Genomic DNA, 18,564 nt, shown 5'->3' with positions numbered 1-18,564 from the left:
ATCAGAAAGGAATTTATGGAAGGTACATATAGCAGACAGGATTGTAGGAGGCATTGAAGAAAAAGACTTTAGGTTGAGCTTACCAGAACAACTTCCAAAGACACAGTGCAGAACTGAGTCACTGATGGAGCTGATGTCTGCTACAATCTGGAAGCTGCCAGATAGTAGGAAGTTTTTGCCATGGATGTTGTTCTGAGACCACACTGCCTCTAACCAGGATCTGTGCTAATAAAATGGAGGTGGTGCTACCTTTCTCTCCAAATAACTTGAAGCTTCATGTGAGTTGTATCTGCTTAGGTCCCTTAGGAAGCAGACATCGAGATAGAGTTTAAGAGGGTAAGAGATGTGTTGTGATAATGCCCATGCAAGGTAAAGCAGGGACAGAGCAGGAGTAGTAGGGAAAGTCTTCTGACTGTGACACAGTTATGACACCTGTGAAAGGAAAGAGAGAAGGAAGAAGGTTGGCCAGAAAAGGCCTCAGACTCTGGTGCAGCTCTGAGGAAAGTCTTGGCCACCGCAAAGATTGCCCATAAAGAAGTCTCTTGGTGGGAAGAATTGGCTATGCCCTAGTTTCCTCTCTGTGCTCAGTCATTGGCTTGGAGCTGTGATGAATCCCAAAGGCATCTAGCCAGGAGACTCTTCATTACATCTGGAATCCTAGCATGAGGGGAATCTCTGCAATACAGGAGGAAACACCAGAAGGGCACTGATATGAATTTTGAGCCAGCCATCATATAGTATCTATCTGCCGCAGATCCCTACCTCACATACCAAATAATTTTCAGATGGATTAAAGAGGCATAGATAAAAAACAAACCTATACAATTATTAAAAGAAAATAAAGAACATATAGGGATGTACTTCTATAACCCTGGAGTAGGGAAGGCCTTTTTAAGAAAGGCACAAAAGGCCAGGTGTGGTGGCTCATGTCTGTAATCCCAGCAGTTTGGGAGGCCAAGGCAGGCAGATGATGAGGTCAGGAGATCGAGACCACCCTGGCTGACACGGTGAAACCCCATCTCTACTAAAAATACAAAAAATTAGCTGGGCGTGGTGGCCGGCGCCTGTAGTCCCAGCTACTCAGGAGGCTGAGGCAGGAGAATGGCGTGAACCCGGGAGGCGGAGCTTGCAGTGAGCCGAGATCACACCACTGCACTCCAGCCTGGGTGACAGAGCGAGACTCCATCTCAAAAAAAAAAAAAAAGAAGTCACAAAATCTAGAAAATATAAAGACATATTTTAAATATTTTAAATTAGTTTTTATTGCTTTCCACATTTTAGGAAAATAATTGGTACTAACATACTTAATGGTGAGAAACTAAATGCTTTCCCCCTAAGATTGGGAACAAGACCAGAATGTTGCTTTTCTCCAGTCCTATTTAACATTGTCTTGAAAGACATAGCTAATGCAATAGGATAAGAAAAGGAAATAAAAGGTTTACAGATTGGAAAGAAACAAAATAGTTTTGTTTGCAGATAACGTGATTATCTATGTAGAAAATTTCAAAGAATTGACAAAAAACTCCCAGAACTAATAAATAATTGCAAGGGGCAGCATACAAGGTTAATATATAAAAGCCAATTGCTTTCCTATATACTAGCAATTAACAACTGGAATTTGACATTAAAAGCACAATGCCATCTACATTAGAACCAGAAAGAAAGAAAGACAGAAAAAAAGAAAGAGAAGGAATGAAGGAAGGTAGGAGGAGAGGGAGGAAGGGAGGGAGGAGAGGGAAGTACGTAAGACAGGCTGACTTAGGCATAAATCTAACAAAATATATACAGGATCTGTATAAAGAACTACAAAACTCTGAGGAAAGAAAACTCTGGTAAATAAATGGAGAAATATTCCATGTTCAATATTATTAAGATGCCCGGTCAGCCGCCCCATCAGGGAGAGAGGTGGGGGGTCAGCCCCCGCCCGGCCAGCTGCCCCGTCCGGGAGGGAGGTGGGGGGCGCCTCCGCCCGGCCACTGCCCCGTCTGGGAGGTGGGGGGCGCCTCTGCCCCGCCGCCCCGTCTGGGAAGTGAGGAGCCCCTCTGCCCGGCCGCCACCCCGTCTGGGAGGTGTACCCAACAGCTCATTGAGAACGGGCCATGATGACGATGGCGGTTTTGTCGAATAGAAAAAGGGGGAAATGTGGGGAAAAGAAAGAGAGATCAGATTGTTACTGTGTCTGTGTAGAAAGAAGTAGACATGGGAGACTCCGTTTTGTTCTGTACTAAGAAAAATTCTTCTGCCTTGGGATGCTGTTAATCTATAACCTTACCCCCCAACCCCGTGCTCTCTGAAACATGTGCATGTCCACTCAGGGTTAAATGGATTAAGGGCGGTGCAAGATGTGCTTTGTTAAACAGATGCTTGAAGGCAGCATGCTCGTTAAGAGTCATCACTACTCCTTAATCTCAAGTACCCAGGGACACAAACACTGCGGAAGGCCGCAGGGTCCTCTGTCTAGGAAAACCAGAGACCCTTGTTCACATGTTTATCTGCTGACCTTCCCTCCGCTATTGTGCTATGACCCTGCCAAATCCCCCTCTCCGAGAAACACCCAAGAATGATCAACAAATACTAAAAAAAATAAAAATTAAAAAAAAAAAAATGTCAGTTCTTCCCAACTTAACCTATAAATCCAACACAATCCCAATAGAAATCCCAGCAAGTTATTTTGTGGATTTCAACAAATTGATTTAAAAATTTATATAGAGAGGCAAAGACCCAGAATAGCCAACACAATACTGAAGGAAGACAATGTCAGAGGACCGACACTACCTGACTTTAAGATACTGTAAATCTATGGTAATCAAAATAGTATGGTACTGGTGAAAGAATAGATGCATAGATCAATAGAATAGAATAGAAAGCCTAGAAATAGACTAACACAAATATAGCCAATTCATCTTTGACAAAGGAGAAAAGGTAATTTAATGGAGAAAAGGTAGTCTTTACAACAAATAGTGCTGGAACGATTGGGCACAGATGCAAAATCAATGACTCTAGATACAGACCTTATACCCTTCACAAAAATTACTATAAAATGGATCATAGACCTAAGCAAAATTCAAAACCACAAGGTTTTTAGAAGATAACATGGGAGAAAATCTAGGTGACCTTGGGTTTGGTGAGGATGTTTTAGATATAACACAAAAAACATGATTCATGAAAGAAAAAATTGCTAAGCTGTACTTCATTAAAATTAAAAATTTCTGCTCTGTGAAGAACACTGTTAAGAGAATGAAAGACAAGCCACAGAGTGGGAGAAAATGTTTGCAAAACACATATCTGATAAAATACTTTAATCCAAAATACAAAAAGGACTTAAAACCCAATTTTAAAAGCTCTGAATAAGCACCTAAATAAAGAAGACACACAGGTGGTAAATAAGCATATGAAAATATGTCCAACATCATATACCACTAGGGACTTGCAAATTAAAACAATGAGCTACCACTATACACCTAAGATGGCTAAAACCCAAAACACTGACAACACCAAGTGCTGGTTAGGACATGGAGCAACAGGAACTCTCATTTATTGTCAGTGAGAATGTAAATGGCATAGCCATTTCATGTGTGTGTGTTTTTTTAAACAGTCTCGCTCTGTCACCCAGGCTGGAGTGCAGTGGCATGATCTCGGCTCACTGCAACCTCTGCCTCACAGGTTCAAGCAATTCTCATGCCTCAGCCTCCTGAGTACCTGGGACTACAGGCATGCACCACCACACCCGACTAATATTTTTTATCAGTAGGGCCACTTTGAAAGATAGTTTAGCAATTTCTTACAAAGGTAAACAGGCCTACCGTACAATCCAGCAATTGTGTTCCTAGGTGTTTACCAAAATGAGTTAAAAACTTTGTCCATGCAAAAATCTGCACATGAATGTTTGTAGCAGCTTTGTTTGTAATTACCAGTAGTTGGAAACAACCAAGATATTATTCTTCTATAGAAAAATGGATAAACAAACTGTGGCACATCAGTGCAATGGAATATTATTCATCATTAAAAAGATAGGAGCTGTCAAGCCATGAAAAGACATAGAAGAACTTTAAATGTGGATCGCTAAGTGAAAAAAGCCAGTCTGAAAAGGATACATGGTGTTTGATTCCAGTGATATGACACTCTGGAAAGGGCAAACTATAGAGACAGTAAAAAGATCAGTAGTCTCTAGAGATACAGGGGAAAGTGAGAGGAATGAATAGATGGAGTACAAAACATTTTTAAGGTGACAGACTATTCTGTATAATACTGTTATGGTGGATATAGGGCGTTATGTCTTTGTCATTACCCATAAAGTTGTACAACACAGAGAATGAACCTTAACATAAACTACAGACTTTAGTTAATAAAAATGTATCAATACTTGTTAATTAATGGTAACAAATACCACACTAATGCAAGGTGATGATAATAGGAGTGTGTGCATGCATGGGGTTGGGGAGTGTGCAGGGGATATATGAGAACTCCGTATTTTTTACTCGATGCTTCTGTAAACTTTATACTGTATTAAAAATACATCTATTAAAATGTTTTGAAGTAATTAATATACTTGGAGAAAAGTTCAGCGCAAATGTAACAGACAATAGGGTAACCACACATTCTAGTTTTCTCAGGACTCCTCTAGTTTATACTTGTTGTCTTGGTGTTCCATCTGGCTTAGGATTTGTCACTCTCAAAGTGTGTTGCTTTGGATGATAACTTATATAATCACCCTAGACAAAGGTTGTTATTTATTTATTTATTTATTTATTTATTTTTTTTTTGAGATGGAGTCTCGCCCTGTCACCCACGCTGGAGTGCAGTGGCACAGTGGTGTGATCTCGGCTCACGGCAACCTCTGCCTCCTGGGTTCAAGTGATTCCCCTGCCTCAGCCTCCCGAGTAGCTGGCATTACAGGTATGTGCCACCACGCCTGGTTAATTTTTTTTTTTTTTTGTATTTTTAGTAGAGATGGGGTTTCACCGTATTAGCCAGGATGGTCTCGATCTCCTGACCTCATGATCCGCCCGCCTCAGCCTCCCAAAGTGCTGGGATTAAAGGCGTGAGCCACCGCGCTTGGCAGGTTGTTATTGTTAACATATAAAAAGCTCTTATAAAGTAATAAGAGAGTCCAGAAGAAAAATGGGCAATGTATATGGACAGGTGTATTAGTTTGCTTCCATAACCTAAAATCCCACAGATTAGGTGGCTTAAACAACAGGAATTTATTTTCTCACAGCTCTGGAGACTGCAAGCACAAGACCAAGATGTTGGCAGGTTTGGTTTTTTCTGAGCCCTTTCTCTTTGGTGTGCAAATGGCTGCCTTCTTGCTGTGTCTTTCCTCAGTGTGTGCTGAAGTCTGTGTCCTAACCTCTTCTTCTAAGAACACCAGTCATATTGCAATAGGGCCTACCCATATGACTCATTTTACATTAATTACATATTTAAAGGTCCTGTCTTGGCCGGGCATGGTGGCTCACACCTGCAATCCCAGCACTTTGGGAGGCCGAGGTGGGTGGATCACCCGAGGTCAGGAGTTCAAGACTAGCCTGGCCAACATGGTGAAATCCAGTCTCTACTAAAAATACAAAAATTAGCTGGGGGTGGTGGCATGCCTGCAATCCCAGCTACTCTGGAGGCTGAGGCACAAGAATCATTTGAACCCCCGAGGTGGAGGTTGCAGTGAGTCAAGATCACACCATTGCACTCCAACCTGGGCAACAAGAGTGAAACTCTGTCTCAATAATAAAAATAAAAATAAGAAAATAAAATAAAAATTAAAGCCCTATCTTCAAATACAGTTATATTATGAAATGCTGGGGGTAAGGACTTGAACATACAAATTTTGGGGAGACATAATTCAGCCCACAATGACAGGCAATTTACAGAAAAAGTACAAATGGTGAATAAATATATGTAAATATGTTTAATATCACCAGAAGCACACAAATTAAACAGTAATGACAGCCCCTCCTCCAATAGAATAAGGAAAGAGAAAGAGGGAGGGAAAGAGAGAGAGACAGAGAGAAAGAAAGAGAGAGAAAGAAAGACAGAAGGAAGAAAGAAGAAAGAAAGAAAGAAAAGATTCTATCTAAGGTTGGCAAGGATGTAGGAAAATGCTATTAGTGAGAAGAACAGATACATCTTTTTTGGAAGTGAACTTAACAGCCTTCATCAAAATGAATATATGCATATCTTTTGACTCAGAAATTTCACTTTTGAGATTTGATCTTACAGAAATACTTACAGAGGGTCAAAGAGGCATGGCTGGGCATGGTGACTCATGCTTGTGATCCCAGCACTTTAAGACGCCAAGGCAGGTGGATTGCTTGAGGCCAGGAGTTTGAGACCAGTCTGGTCAACATGGCAAAATCCTGTCTCTAGAGAAAATACAAAAATTAGCTGGGCATTGTGGCATGCACTTGTAATCCCAGCTACTTGGGCAGCTGAGGTGGGAGGATCACTTGAGCCTGAGAGGCAAAGGTTGCAGTGAGCTGAGATCACACCACTGCACCCCAGCCTGGGTGACAGAGTGAGACCTTGTCTCAAAAAACAAAACAAACGAACAAACAAAAAACAAAGAGGCATGCATGAAGGTATTAATTACAGTATTTCTCATAACAATAAAAATTTGAAAAAATATTTAAGTTTCTATTGATAGGTAAATAAGCTATGGTATATCCATACTGTGGAATACTAGACTGAGGTTAAAAAGAATAAGGTAGATCTATGATAAATAGATATCATGTGATATCTGAGAAATAAAGTAAACCTAAGATAAATGGAATCATGAAACATATTAAGTAACTCAAAAAGAGGAAATAAAGAACAAAGAAGAAATGGGATAACTAGAATACAAACAGCAGAATGGTAGATTTAAACTCAACCATATCAACAATCACATTAAATGTAAATGATCTAAACACCCCAATTAAAAGGCATAGATTGTTAGGTTGTATTTTTTTTTAAATCATGATCCAACTATATACCACTTACAAGAAATCCACTTTAAATATTGTCATAAATAAGTCAAAAGAGAAAAATTGCATAAAGATATGTCCTGCAAATATTAATCAAAAGAAAGCTGGAGTGGCTATATTACTATCATACAAAGCAGATTTCAGAGTAAAAAATATTTCCAAGGAAAAAGAAAGTTATTTTATAGTGACAAAAGGATCCATTTATCAACAGGACATAACAATCCTAAATGTACATGCACTTAATAAGAAAGCTGACTCAAAATACATGACGCAAAATGAGATAGAACTGCAAGGAAAAAGAGAAAAATGCACTATTATAGCTAGACATTATTTTCTTGTTCTTATTTTATAATTTTCTATTCTTGTTATATGGGAATCTCCTTTATCTCTTTCATCTCTTAATCAAACTTAAGGTCCTTTTCAGATCACTTTTTAGTCTCTAGTTCCATTGATGTTAGTTATTCCATTTGCAGAGTCAGTAGAATATCTATCTTGGCATTGGACTTTCCTATCTGTTTTATAATTTTTGTGTGTGAGCTCATCTTCAATAGGTGTTATTTTTCACAGGAATCCTGTAAGTGCCTTGACTTATTAAGGCCTTCTTATTGGGTTATCTCACTATTCTCCTACTCTTTTGGGGGTTTGCCCTTTCTGACCCTCTGTGGTTACAGGTTTCTGCTTCATTTCTGGTACCTGGAAATTTTCTTTTTCTTGCTTTTGAGCTTAGCTATGTTTTAAACTGAAGTTTTATATAAAATGTTATAAAACGTTACAATTATATAACATTTCACTGTTTGGAACAGGTTTGGGAAACTTCCATATCGGATTAAATTTTAGTTTTGATTGAATGTCTTAATAGGTCTCCTACAACAAAATCTTGAAGTCAAACCTTCACCTTCTCTCTCTCTCCTTGTTGTCCTTTGTTATGGAATTAAAAGTTACTTTACAGTAAATTGATGTTTTTCTTTTTTTTTAATTGAAAAAATGACATTTTAGGAACATAAACTGTGTCTGCCTTTTCAGGTGGAGACTAGAATGCTTTGTGGAAGATGTTCTTTTGTTTTGGAATGCACCACTAGAGTTGATCCTTTGAGCTAGGCTAGTATAAAACAGCCAGGGTCTACCTATCATTCTTGGGGAGTATGGGAAAGCACTGACGGGCCTCTAAAGGGGATTACTTAGTCTGAGATGTTAATACCATTTAGTAATATACATTTAATGAATTTGTTGAATTATGTCTCTGAGGATTGTTTTATTTAGAGCACCACCATCTCCTAATTTGGAATGTGACTATCTTATGCCTGAAATTGATGTGTCCTTGCAATGTTGTGTGTTACTCTGGGATCAGTTGTTTGCACAAGATAAGGAGCTGCGGTGGAGAAGAATGTGGGAGAGAAGGGCTCACTTCTTCAGCTCAGGCTGGAGAAAAAGTGCAAATGAGCCCGACGGGGCTCTGCTCGGTCCATCCTGGACCTGGGAGTTGGTGTCCCACTGAGGTGCTATTTTAACCTGCCCATCCTAGCTTTGGGGAAATATCCTAGCCAGTATTTTATTATCATTTTTTTGATATCCCTATTATCAGTAATGCAAGAAAGAGGCTAATTCTGGTGCAGGCAAGAGGGTTTGGGAGGCAGATCTTAGATGTGAGTGAGAGTAAAAAAACACTTCCTGGGGCTGGGGAGGTGGGGAGAGTTGCTTAGACCTGGACTCCAAGGAAGGGGATAGTTGCGATAGGCCTGGTGGTGGGAGGAGATTTATCCTTCCAGCTCCAGGCAGCTGATGGGTGAGGTGGGGAGGGGGCCTGTGAAGGACTTTGTGGGTTTGTGTTTTTTCTGAGATGGAGTCTCATTCTGTCGCCCAGGCTGTAGTGCAGTGGCACGATCTTGGCTCACTGAAACCTCCACCTCCTGGGTTCAAGCGATTTTCATGCCTCAGCCTCCCAAGTAGCTGGGATTACAGGCATGCGCCACCACACTCAGCTAATTTTTGTATTTTTAGTAGAGACGGGATTTTGCCATGTTGCCCAGGCTGGTCTCGAACCCCTGACCTCAATTGATCTGCCCGCCTCGGCCTCCCAAAGTGCTGGGATTACAGGCGTGAGCCACTGCACCCGGCCATGGCTTTGAAGTTAGCTCTGGGCTAGGTGCTCTCAGCAGAGCCACTTCTAAGAACAGTTATAGGTTGCACTCTGGTGTGTACTTTTCTTTTCCCCCTCAGATTTCAGGAAACTTTTCTTAATTTGCCTTTGGGTGTGCTGTAGAATTAGGAGAAAGCCTGGCACATGGGAGGACAGAGTGAGACCTGACTGGCTCTGGGTGGGATGTGCCAGGGACCGGGGGGCAGGTGGGCAGAGAGTGGTTGGAGGTGAACCTGAGCAGGGTGCCAGGGCCAGAGCCTGGAGAGCTTTGCATGCCATTTGAAGGAAGCTGAACTTACCTTGTAGGCCCCTGAAGGATATTAAGCAAGATGGTGGTGTGATCAAACTTGCATTACAGGGAAACACCCCAGGATTTCTCATGAATTTATAGACAGCTGCAGTGGACGTCTGCTGTTTTTATCTGCCCAGCACCTCTTCCACCCCTGCTGCAGTAACAGAACCCCTCTTTCCTGTGGGGAACCTTTTTCATGTGAAAGGCAGAGCTGACTGCAGTCTTCTCAAAACCAGGGAGTGTGCTCATGACCCAGGCCAGGCCAACAGGAATGCCTGATCGGGCAATGGGTACTGTTTCAGGGACAGGGCTGTGATTCAAGTTTGGGCCTAGGACTTTCCCAAAAGAGCTTCTAGAGGAAACCAATTCATTCTGGTGGGGTCTCTAAGCTGATAGGATAAGAATCTAGTGCTACTGGTGACCAAGAAGGCTTCTTGCCATGTGGAGAGAAAATGTTTGATAGATGGCATGAGACAGAGCCCCAGGGATTTAGTTTGAGGCACAAGATCCAGCCATAGATAATGCCAAGTAGAAACGATCAGGTGAAGGAGAGAGAGACTTAGAGAACCCTGAGGACATGTTGAGCTACTGGATCCAGCCATTCCTGAAGCTTACTTGACTTGCCCTTTTACATAAGCCAATACATTTTTTTCTTGCTTAACTTACTTGGTTGGATTTTTCTCACTTAGGAGTGAGAGTCCTCACTAATAATTGCATGTTCTTCCCGATTGGCTCTTCCCTAGACTCAATATCCCAAATTCAGGCGGGCACGGTGGCTCATGCCTATAATCCCAGCACTTTGGGAGGCTGAGGCAGGCGGATCATGAAGTCAAGAGATCGAGACCATCCTGGCCAACATGGTGAAACCCCATCTCTACTAAAAATACAAAAATTAGCCGGTCATAGTGGCATGTGCCTGTAATCCCAGCTACTCGGGAGGCTGAGGCAGGAGAATCGCTTGAATCCAGGAGGCAGAGGTTGCAGTGAGCCAAGATTGTGCCACTGCACTCCAGCCTGGCAACAGAGTGAGACTCTATCTCAAAAAAAAAAAAAAAAAAATCCCAAATTCATTTTACTTCTGAGATGGTTTCTAGATCCCCCTCCTCCCTGGTCACCCTCCTCTGGATGGAGATGCCCACATTAGTTCCCTGAGGAACCCTGCTTTCTTAGGCTTGTATTGCAGTAAAGTACATGATGGACTCTTCTCTGAAGAAATCGAGATATAAACTTGATACCTGTGGGCTGGATGTTGGTGAGGCCTTTTGAGGGCACTCTGGTCAGGGCCAGGCATGATTGGAAGTAGCTACACTTTTTTTTAAATTTTAATTTTAATTTCAATAGTTATTGGGGTACGATTGGTTTGTGGTTACAAGGATAAATTCTTTAGTGGTGATTTCTGAGATTTTAGTTCACCCATCACCTGAGCAGTATACATTGTACCCAATTTATACTCTTTTATCCCTCAAGTGCCCCTCCCAAGAAGTAGCTACACTTCTATAAAGAACAAAGCAAGGCCGGGCGCGGTGGCTCACGCCTGTAATCCCAGCACTTTGGGAGGCCGAGGCGGGTGGATCATGAGGTCAGGAGATCGAGACCATCCTGGCTAACAAGGTGAAACCCCGTCTCTACTAAAAATACAAAAAATTAGCCGGGCGCGGTGGCGGGCGCCTGTAGTCCCAGCTACTCGGGAGGCTGAGGCAGGAGAATGGTGTGAACCCGGGAAGCGGAGCTTGCAGTGAGCCGAGATTGCGCCACTGCAGTCCGCAGTCCGGCCTGGGCGACAGAGCGAGACTCCGTCTCAAAAAAAAAAAAAAAAAAAAAAAAAAAAAGAACAAAGCAAGCCAGGCATGGTGGCCCACACCTGTAATCTCAGCACTTTTAGAGGCTGAGGCAGGAGGATCACTTGAGGCCAGGAGTTTAAGACCCGCCTGGGCAATATAGCGAGACTCCGTCTCTGTTTTTAAAAAGAAGAAGAAAAAGAACAAAGCAACTTTTCTTGAATATGGGGATTTCTGAGGTCAGCGCCTTGAGCGACCTGTTTCTAAGTGGTAGGGAAAGGAATGTGTCCTCATTTACAGCCAAAAGGATCCCAGGGCTGCCCTGAAATACTGAGGAAACCACTCAGTCATCTTAACTGGCTGCTAATGAGTTGATCCATAATTTAAAAGTGGCTTCAAAGCCACTTTTCTTGCTTTAAGAAACAGCAAAAGGAAGGGGGCAGGGGAGACACAGAGTCAGACCTATCCTTATCTAAGCTGAGGTGGTTTGCGGGGGGCCAGGGTGGAGGGGGTGTGGGCGGTGGGTGCACACATGTGTGTGGGAAGCAGGGAAGAGCATGCCTATTTCCTGCCGGATCCTACAAGGGTTTCTATAATCACCTTCGTGAAGGTGACCTGAGGACCTGCCTTTGACAGAACAGACCTGGATTTAGACTCCTAGATGATGAATCTCCTCCTGCCCCATAGCAACTGCCCTGAACCTCCCCAAGTTCTGCTCTTCTTCTTGCTGATCACTTGGTAAGTTACGCGCAAAACTAAAACCCAAGTGTCCGCCATTTTGGTGTTCTAAGCCCTATGGCCTTATAGGGCCACCTTGCTTTTCATCTAAGAGAAAATAGATCAAGCCCTCAACCCACAATAGAGGAAAACACAAGGTTTCCTGCAATAACTCTGGGGACCTTTTACTCTGATATCCTGTTTCTACTGAAATCCAGTCCTCTCTTCCTCCCTTCCCTCCTTCCTTCCCCCCTCCCTCGCTCCCTTCCCCTTCCTTCCTTCCTTCCTTCCCTCCTTCCTTCCTTCCCTCCTTCCTTCCTTCCCTCCTTCCTTCCTTCCCTCCTTCCTTCCTTCCCTCCTTCCTTCCTTCCTTCCTTCCTTCCTTCCCTCCTTCCTTCCTTCCCTCCTTCCTTCCTTCCCTCCTTCCTTCCTTTCTTCCTCCCTCCCTCCCTCCCTCCTTCCCTCCCTCCCTCAGCTGCTATCATTTCTGCCTTGTATCAAGACAAATGTAAAACATAGATTGTTTTCCTTGATTTCCTCCAAGTAGCTCTAGCATAAGGCATATGAACCATGTTTTTCCTGTGTGTAATTGGGAGAGCTACATTGCATTTTAGCACAGAAAACACCTTAAGGTTGATATTCCTTTGGCTGTGTCCTCTACCCACCTCCCCGCTCCCATGAGCCATTTTGCCTCCTTGAGGCCCAGCCTCCACCAGACTCATTCTCTCTCTCTCTCTCTCTCTCTCTCTCTCTCTCTCTCTCTCACACACACACACACACACCACAGCCAGACTCCCATAGCATCCTTTTCCTCTCTCCTGTGGAGTAGTCAGCCCCCATCCCCCACCCCAGACTGCATCTGGGCCCATCTCTGTCTGCTTAGAAACCCGCTAAAGACCAGCTTTGAAATTACTTTTTCCTTTAACACTACCAAATTATCCGTCATAACTCCTTTCCCTAGCAGCCTCTACAGGCATGAAAAAATGCATCATCCTTTTGATATGAATTATACCACCCCCTTAGAAGGCAGAAGAAGCTAGAATAATTTTGCTGGTTGTTTAAATAGCAGCTTTTTCTTTTCTGTTGCTCAAGTTTAACTATAGCCCAGAGATGCTTCCATCAGCCCCACCTGCTTTGTTGGATAAATCTTACCCCACCTGGCTCTATCCTGCACTTGTCAGCACCTCCCTAGCCACACCCTACCTCCCCAGTACACGAGACTTCTCAAAATAGCCCAAGCCCTTATGTCCCCATTCTGCCTCCCAAGCTGGAGTATCAGCCACAGGCTACCTTGAGCCATAAGAAGGCCCTCTTTTCCCTCCTCCAGGGAGATCTTAGGGCCCTGCTGCTTGTCTGGGGTCAGTCTCCCATGCCACCCTGCTTCTGTGTGGCTGAGGGTCTCCCAGTGTGCGATTCAGACCCAGGGTCCCTAGCCCTGGCAAGTCCCCCGCACCTAGCAGAGCACCTGGCTCATGAGAAGCACTCCAGACACGTTCACCTGCCTCATCCAGAGTTGCACTGTGTCCTGGGCCCAGGGTGGAAGTAGTCAGACTGGAATTCAGTCTCTCAAGGGTTGCACAAACTACAGCCTGCTCCTTGGGCTGCCCCGTGGTTTCTGAGCAGGCAGCCTGCAGAAGAAAAAGAAGCCCGCTCTGAGAGGCGAGACACAGGCCAGTTCTGCTCTCAGCTCACTCCAAGTGCTGGACAACCTCTTTTCCCTACTTGGGCCTCTGTCTGTCATCTGAAAAAGGAGGGGCTGGATTCGATAAGGCCCAGAGAGCTACAGTGGAGTCCTGGGAAGGGGATGACCTTACCTCTGGTAGGAGTTCACTATGGTGCCTGGAGACAGGTGGCCCGCGAGGGCAGAGGCTGTGCTGCCTCAGCTGGAGGGATGAAGGCTGCACCAACTCCTGGCCTGGGATGTCCAGGATGGTGGCCCCCTGGGGTGTGGCTGGGGTGCAGTGGGTGAGGCAGAGAGCCACTCAGGATGGGGCTGGAGAGACAGGCAGTTGCATGTAAGCCATAGCAAGGTATCAGTATTTTGTGGTAAGTGCCATGGAAAGCCATCAAGGAGGTTTTTGTGGGGGCCTGACATGATCTGATTTGTTTTTAAAGATCGTGCTGCCTTCGTGCAGAATGGACTAAAGAGAGGCCAGAGGAGAATCAGGGCCATGCAGGGGCAGGCGCATTGGTCCGAGTGGGAGAGCAGGGTGCCAGACGAGGGTAAATGGTGGGGATGGAGGTAGAAATGATCATTTTTGCAGTCAATTAGGTGGGTAAGGATACTGGACAACCGGGGTCTCTTACCACCTAGTTTCCAGCAGTTTCACCAGGACTCAGGTACCTCTGTCTGTCTACATATAAGGCGGCTCAGATAGCCTCAGGAGGAAGGGTGGTCAGATGGGCTAGGGTTCCCAAACTTCACTGCTAACCTAAAAGGTGACTAAGGTGGGAGGCTTGTGTCTTCCTACCAGTGACTCCAGGAAGGATAGGAACTGATGGGAGCAGAGGTTGGGCTGCCTGTGCAAGGGGTTGGAGCTTGGCCGCCCCCCTGCATCAGCACTGGGGGCGAACATCCCAAACGTCATCAGCCTCCAGGCCCAAAACTGGCCTTGCCTGCAGCCCTGTCCCTGCAGCAGTGAAGACTAGCTCCCGCTGGCCAACGAGCTGAGATTCAGGAACCCTCTCTTCTAGAGGTGCTTCAGACTCAGCTCGGTCCGCTGCAACTCCCAGAGGCCTTTGGGCTGATTTCCTGCTTCCGGCTCTGCTGGCCAGGGGTGGCTGATGGAGGCAACTCAGTTGATTGAGTTTGCCTGGCAGGCAGATTGATGTTCTCTGGGAATGGGAATAGAGGCGGGATCCTGCGAGACAGAGGAAGAGGGAGAAGAGCAAATAGGGGCTTGGTGTGAGAGGGGTGGGCCATTTGCTAAATAAAATTTAAATCCTTGCCGTGGTGGCTGCCAAGAAGAGAGAAGTGACTGATGAAAACCATATGTCTCTAAGTAAGTGGAAAGACAAACCCTGCTTGGTGTGTGGAAGATGTTGCTGTTGGTCTCCCATGCAATGGAAAAATCTCCTGTTTTAAAGAATACAATGTTAAGAGGCACTCTGAGACAAACCACATTTCGCAATTAAGTAGTTTACAAGGTCAGTAAAGGAAGGACAAAACAAACCAGCTGAAAAGGTCTTGCTCAATAACAAAATTTGTTTAAAAGTTGAATCTTACAGTCCGAAACTGTAATATAGGCTCATCACATAGTTTTTAGAAAAAACAAATAGCCAAAAAGATGAAACTTTTGAGGGATGGAGAAGCAGATCAAAGTGCTTTAAGTACTGATACAGCTATTGTATCTCCTAATGTTTGAAAAAAAAAAGAGTAATTAAAAAAAGAACTTAAACTGTATCACTTTTTACTTTTTGTAAATTGACCCAGAGACAAACCAAAAGCAGAGACACAGACAAACGTAACTACTGTTCATTCCGTCTGCAGAACAGAATTCTAATTTCATCATCCAACATTCAAGTTCCAGCATAATGTGGTTCCAACTGTCCTTTTTTTGAATTTTCCTCCACGGAACACTGTTGCCCCTGTCCCTCTCCCCCACCGCCTCGCCCCGCCACACAATCCACCCTGTTTCAGGCTGCCACCGTGGGGCTTCCTGGTACACCTACTTCCCCCTGGGATGTCTTTCCTCCCAGCTGTATGGAAAAATGTTAGCCCTTCTTTAAGACTATCAATTTCCAAATTCTACCCATTCCACCATAATTTCCATTTGATACTTTTGCATAGATTCCAGTTCTCCGGTGAAATTCTCCGTCTTGTCATCTGTTTTCTTAACTATGTTAATCACACTTATTTTGAAGTCTGTGTCAGGGAGCTCCAGTATCTGGGTCACCTGCAGGGCTGTTTCTGTGACGGAGATACTTTTTGGCTCCGACTGATGCTGTCCTTCATCATGGAGGATTTACTTCATTTTCCGGAAGGCAGTTAGAGAAGGGAAGGTCATTCGTAATCCAGGCTGCGGTTGAGCTGGTTTGAAGCTGTCAGGCTTTTTGAAGGCCGCTCTATTTCCAGCTCACCCTGCCTCCTGGTGTGTAACCCATCTGAGGTTCTCGCTGGAAGTCTGGCTTGTTCTTTAGGGCTCTTCCTCTTTGGTGGGCCTTCAACTCCAAGTCTGTCTTCCAAGCCCCACGAGACTGCCAAAAACTCTGCTCAGCTTCCCGGTCTCTTAGCCATGCTTCACTCCTTGGCTGGGTGCTGCTTACGGATCCGTGAATGCCTTCCAGAGAAAGGGGCCTTAGAAGCTAACCTCCACGTGCTTCTCTTCCCCAGACATCTTGGCCCCCAGGTCTGCTTGTCTTGTAGTTTGAACTCCAAATTTATCTCCCAGCCCTTCGAAATTGCCAAAGTCTCCTACTCAAGTTCTCAGCTTCTTATCCACACTTTCTGCTTGGCTTTAGCCTCTTGGCCCCCATGCTGCTCATGAATCAGCAGATGCCTCAAGGGGAAGAGTGGCTCTGAGGCTACCCACAGGCTTCCCTTCCCCCGGGGACCCTGCCCTCTCCAGCCTGGCTGCCCTCAACAGACAGCTTTTGGACTTTATCCAGCTCATTCCTGGTGGGAGGACTGGCCTCTAAGGAGCTACTCTGACATTGCAGAAAGTGAAGTCTTCTATCCATCCGTTAGAATGTAAGCTCCGTGAGGGCAGGAACCATGTCTCTGCCACTGCTGAGCTCTCTGGCTGATCTCAATCATGGCTTTAAACATTCCTGAATGCCTGTCTGCAGCCCAGAGCTCTGTTCTGAGCCCCTAGCCCCACGTATCTAAGTGCTTCCTTGTCGTCTCCATGCAGCTGCCACACAGATATCTCAAACTCAACACGTCCAAAATCTTGTTCTTCTACCCAGATCTGCATCTCCTCCCTTCATCCTGCTGCTTACGTCAGAAACCCCAGGGTCACCGTGACAATTCCTGCTCCCTCCCCTCCCACATCCAATCTCCCCGTGTTGCCGATTCCACCTTAAACGTCACATGAAGTCATCCTCCCCTTCTTGAAGCCACAACCTTGTCCCCAAGACTGTGCCCTCATGTAGGTTACTCAGTAGTCCCCTCACAGTCCCCTAGAGCCATGCTGGCCTCCTTCCAACATGCTGGCCAGCCACCCTGTGGGCAGAATGATCCCTTGAACACAAAAATCGGATGATGTCATTTCTCCGCAGAACATCCTCCAACGACTTCCCACTGCTTTTAACAGAAAGCTTTGAAGATATACTTTCAAGGAGCCACTGGTCTGCCTGGGCTGCCCCAAGCCCCCTCCCAGTCTCTCCTGACTCTTGACCTTGAACACACTGCATCCACTGGGCCTTCTCTGTCCTGCCAGCACCAGGAGCTCCTTTGCCCAGGCCTTCACACGTGCCCTTCTCCTGCCAGGAAACACCCTCCCCCCATGTCTGCCTCTCTGCTGCTCATTCTGCAGGTCCCAGCTAAATGGCCCCTCCTTAGGGGAGCTTCTTGGACGTCCATAATTGGTTAGGTGCCCCTGATCACTCACCATCACTGCATCCTCCACTCTGCTTATAGCGCCCAGCACAGTCTTCTTCGTTAATTGAGAGATCACTGCCTCGCTTTCTCCCCTACTAGACTCTAACCTCCCTGAGGCCAGGAACCGTGTCTGTCTTGGTCACCACTTTATCCCCAGCACTAGCAAATTACCCGGGGTACCTTAAAAGACTTGTAAATAATTTTTTGAATAAATGAATAAAAGATGGACAAGGACAGCAGATGGCCATACCCCAAGCCCCGGGCCCCCAGCAGAAGGCCGTGTAGGGAGCACTTGGCAGTCAGGGCAGCTGGGAGAGGGCTTTTAGTTAGCCAGTGTCTGAGGGTGAGACTATGAAAATAAGCGATTGTATCTAATGCCATCTTCTGCTGTCCAGGGAGCCGGCAGATCTGGGTTCCAGTCCCAGGTCTGGCACACATCATGACAAATAGCATTTTTATGATGCTTCACAGTTTACAAGGCATTTCCACAGATGGGATCGAATTAAACCGGCTCTGTGACCTCCAACAAGCAGCTCTGAGAGGCCCCTGGGGAATAAGGAGCCAGGGAGCCGGCTCCTGAGCCAGCTCTGCCGTCAGCTCCACATGCTGGTTGGTAAGGCTCTCCAGCCTGAGTCTTCTCATCTGTTAAACGAAGGGGTCCAACAAGATGACCTCTAAGGTTTGTCTGTGACATTTTAGATTTAGAAATTCAGACCTACCCAAATCAGAAAGCAAGTTTTTGGAGTCCCCTTCTCAAATAGCTGCTCCCCACTTTCAGCATAAGTAGCAGGGCAGCGTCACCAGAGGCTCTTAACAGTACCGGGGTGACTTAGCCTTCGTGTGACTTTGTGTCACACCAAAGCAGAACCTGAAACCAGGGCTTTTTTTAATTTTTATTTTTTGAGATGGAGTTTTGCTCTTGTCACCCACGTTGGAGTGCAATGGTACTATCTCGGCTCACTGCAACTTCCGCCTCCCAGGTTTAAGTGGTTCTCGTGTCTCAGCCTCCCAAGTAGCTGAGATTACAGGCATGCACCACCATGCCTGACTAATTTTTGTATTTTTAGAAGAGACGAGGTTTCACCATGTTGGCCAGGCTGGTCTAGAACTCTTGACCTCGGGTGTTCTGCATGCCTGGG

General features: G+C 45.3%; 2 annotated features.

Moving 5' to 3' along the window:
* Window positions 1,886-2,042: a silencer, noted in NCBI's record as "fragment chr2:26888285-26888441 (GRCh37/hg19 assembly coordinates)". NCBI's record gives its function as "represses an EF-1alpha promoter that drives an FKBP-Casp9 reporter gene in an ReSE screen in phorbol 12-myristate 13-acetate-treated (for megakaryocytic differentiation) K562 erythroleukemia cells {active_cell/tissue: K562(+PMA)}" and the evidence as "EXISTENCE:reporter gene assay evidence [ECO:0000049][PMID:32094911]".
* Window positions 11,195-11,910: an enhancer, noted in NCBI's record as "OCT4-NANOG-H3K4me1 hESC enhancer chr2:26878417-26879132 (GRCh37/hg19 assembly coordinates)". NCBI's record gives its function as "activates a minimal SCP1, AML or CMV promoter by ChIP-STARR-seq in primed H9 embryonic stem cells {active_cell/tissue: H9 hESC(primed)}" and the evidence as "EXISTENCE:reporter gene assay evidence [ECO:0000049][PMID:30033119]".

The sequence above is a fragment of the Homo sapiens genome, chromosome 2, assembly GCF_000001405.40.
Source record: "Homo sapiens chromosome 2, GRCh38.p14 Primary Assembly".
NCBI classification, from domain to species: Eukaryota; Metazoa; Chordata; class Mammalia; order Primates; family Hominidae; genus Homo; species Homo sapiens.
Note: the sequence above shows the minus strand (reverse complement) of the source record. Positions and strands in the feature narration are given on the sequence as shown.